The sequence below is a fragment of the Homo sapiens genome, chromosome 9 (genome assembly GCF_000001405.40).
Source record: "Homo sapiens chromosome 9, GRCh38.p14 Primary Assembly".
NCBI classification, from domain to species: domain Eukaryota; kingdom Metazoa; phylum Chordata; class Mammalia; order Primates; family Hominidae; genus Homo; species Homo sapiens.
Genome location: NC_000009.12, coordinates 81,104,340 through 81,107,481, shown reverse-complemented (window position 1 = coordinate 81,107,481; position 3,142 = coordinate 81,104,340). Strand labels below are relative to the sequence as shown.

The window sequence follows — 3,142 nt, the reverse complement described above, 5'->3', positions numbered from 1 at the left end:
CCCATATATTCCATAACCAAAGGACTGGCTGCATCATGGTTTCATGTCTTTGATCTCCAATTCTTGATCTCAGTGCTCAGCCTTTTTTTTTCTTTTAAACGGGGTTTTGCTCTTGTTGCCCAGGCTGGAGTGCAATGATGTCATCTCAGCTCACTGCAACCTCCGTCTCCTGGCTTCAAGCAATTCTCCTGTCTCAGCCTCCCAAGTAGCAGGGATTACAGGCGCATGCCACCATGCCTGGCTAATTTCTGTATTTTTAGTAGAGATGGGGTTTCATCATATTGGTCAGGCTTGTCTCAAACTCCTGACCTCAGGTCATCTGCCCGCTTCAGCCTCCCAAAGTGTTGGGATTACAGGTGTGAGCCACCGCACCCAGCCAATGCTCAGCTTTTAAGCTAAGAACTATAGTCCTTGCTCAAGCTGAGATAAGGGTGTTCACCCTGTGCATGCTCTGTTTCTATTACATCTTGCACCACTTACCATATTGAGTTGAGACTCAATCCCATACTGTGGGGACTGTGGATCTTGCACATATCTACACCTGTAATGCCTAATACTGTGCCAGGCACATAGTCAATGTTTGATAAATCAACATTGAATGCATGGCGGAATAGATAAATGAATGAACACAGTAAGTTATAGCCTGTTGTTCCTCACATCATTTTCTTTGAGGCCTCCTCCGTGTCATTGCATGATTAACTGACACTACGTTGTTGGAGCAATGACAACATCTAAATGGCAAGTCTTCTTAGTGTAACTTTTGGGAGGATATTAATAATGGTGCTTATTTGAACCAAAGCTAAATTGCATACATAGGTGATATTCCATTTTGTAAGACTCTCATGAGAAGAGAGGGAATAGGTGGGTTTTATGGTCTTTGGGCTAACATTTTCTGCTGTAAAAAATGGCTATGTGGTAGCAGAAAGAAATTTACAGCCAAACTTGGCATGAATGAACCTTGGAGTGGCAATGGCTTCATTCTCAAACCTTGGTCCTGTTCTGGGTGAATGTTGCTTTGAGAAGCTGGCTTTTCCAGAACATGAAATTTTGATAGCATGTAACACCATAGGTGGGCAAATGGACAACCTCTGTACCTCTGTAGTTCCTTTGAGTGTAAATATTGCTTTGAATTCCTTGATGTATAATACTCCTAATACAAGAGTTTTGTTTAGGTCCCTTGCCTCAGGGAGAAATATGTGCAAATGGTTTATCTTTTCTGCTACCTTCTGCCTCTGCAACCTGACAATGAACTCTACACACTGCTTTGCCCTCACTGACATGGCAGAAGCTCCTCCTGGACATGGTGTGTGATGGTGCAGATCATATTTCCTAAAAACACAGAATATGTGAATGATAGGACCAACATTGCCAGATAGCTGGTTTAGCATGTGCCAACAAGAATCCTGACTCGACTTTCTCTTTTTTGGTAAGGAGGTTTACTTACTCCTTAAAAGAGGTGATTCTAGAATTGTCTGGATAATATAGGTGTCAATATTTCATAGACAGCATTGTTTAAGGTAGGCACAATTATTTAAAAAAATGGAGTCATTTTCCTTTGATAATTTTTAAAGCAAATGTTTTTTCAGTTTTATGTACAGCCGTGTTAAGAGTTAACCTCCATAATCTCATACGATTGCTTGTCATCTTTGTAAAATCTATCTTCAAAAAAAATGTTTTGGTATACCATTATTCTGTGTGGCTCCCAAATTCTGGACCTGCCCTGTTTGCATTCCAGTGTGGGGTCTATAAAAATAATAGAAACATATAATTGGATGGGATATACTAAATGAGGACTCTGAAGCTAATTGTTCCCTCAATTCATGAACTGTTTCCTGGGCTGGGATTTCACTGCCTCATTCTAAACCCTTTCCAGTGATGGGGTGCTCAGTACTTTGGACTTCACACGTCTCACTTTTTCTCAGCTTTAACAGCAAGTTCTTTCTTGCATTAGGTGACAGTGGGAAAATCTAAATATTTCAGCCTATGTCACCATGTATCTGGATCAGAACCTGGGGTGATTGTGTAATTACTCCAGGAATATCACAGAACAGGGAAGGAAGTCTTGCAGAAGTTAAGTCTTTGCACAAAGGGATAAAACAGCTTTCTTCTCTCTCTAGAACCCAGAAGGAAGTTCGGCTTGGATCCCCAAGTGTGGAGGCAGTGAGATAACTTGCTGAGGCAAAAGGTGAAGTGCCCCTGGCCAGTGGAGGCAGGTTGGGAGTGAGGCAGGAAAACGTCTGAGTAACAGACCCCATGATGGATGTGAGGCTGGCCTGGGGATTTTAATTTATCTATAAAGTGTTTTTCCTCCATTGTTTTGGAAGATCATTAAAGCCCTGTTGAAAATTATATAGCATGTTTAGTTATATTGCATAGGAAGGGCTTATGTCCATCAGTGAGGAAAGTAGGGCCATGAGGGTGAGAAAATTGTCTTTTCTGTTGGTGGAAGTGCCCTCAGAGTTTCCTTCTAGACCCACAGTTTTGGAGTTCCATGTATAGTCCTTTCGGAATTTAAAAACCTTTCTCGTGCTCTGCTCTCTCTCTCTCTTCCCAGCCACTCAGATGCAGGCAAATCTAACTCGTGTTTCTTCACTAGTATTCCCAGGCTGTGATTTTGAGGTTCTTTGCAGCCCAGTCCCTGGTGTCTGGATGCTCAGTGGATTGCCCACGTCCCACATAAAAAGTAGCCAGAATGACCAGGCACAATGGCTCATGCCTGTAATCCCAGCACTTTGGGAGACCGAGGCAAGAGGATTTCTGAGCTCAGGAGTTCAAGGCTGCAATGAACAAAGGCCACATCACTGTACTTCAGCCTAGGGGGCAGAGTGAGGCTCTGTGTAAAAATTAACAAATAAATAATAAAGAAGCCAGGATGGACCTGATCTATCCTCTAAACAAACAGAACAGAAAAAGCCAGAAAAGAACATGGACAATGAAATTATGATATTAACCCTACCTATGTCAGGGATACTTTAACGCCCCTGGTTGCTTCTTTAATTTTTGTGTGTTCAGACTCTGGTATTCCAGGCACTGCTATAGGTAAGCTAGACAGCGATGCTGGTAGGACAATTTTTAAAAAAATTTTATTTTATTTTATTTTTATGAGAAGCGTGAAGGTTGAAGCTTGGATACTGTAGTCTAA

General features: G+C 41.9%; 1 annotated feature.

Annotated features, from left to right (window-relative positions):
• Positions 1,962-2,131: an enhancer, noted in NCBI's record as "experimental_108158 CRE fragment used in MPRA reporter constructs". NCBI's record gives its function as "activates a minimal promoter by MPRAs in K562 erythroleukemia cells, with activity observed for the non-introgressed 9:83720351 variant allele {active_cell/tissue: K562}" and the evidence as "EXISTENCE:reporter gene assay evidence [ECO:0000049][PMID:34662402]".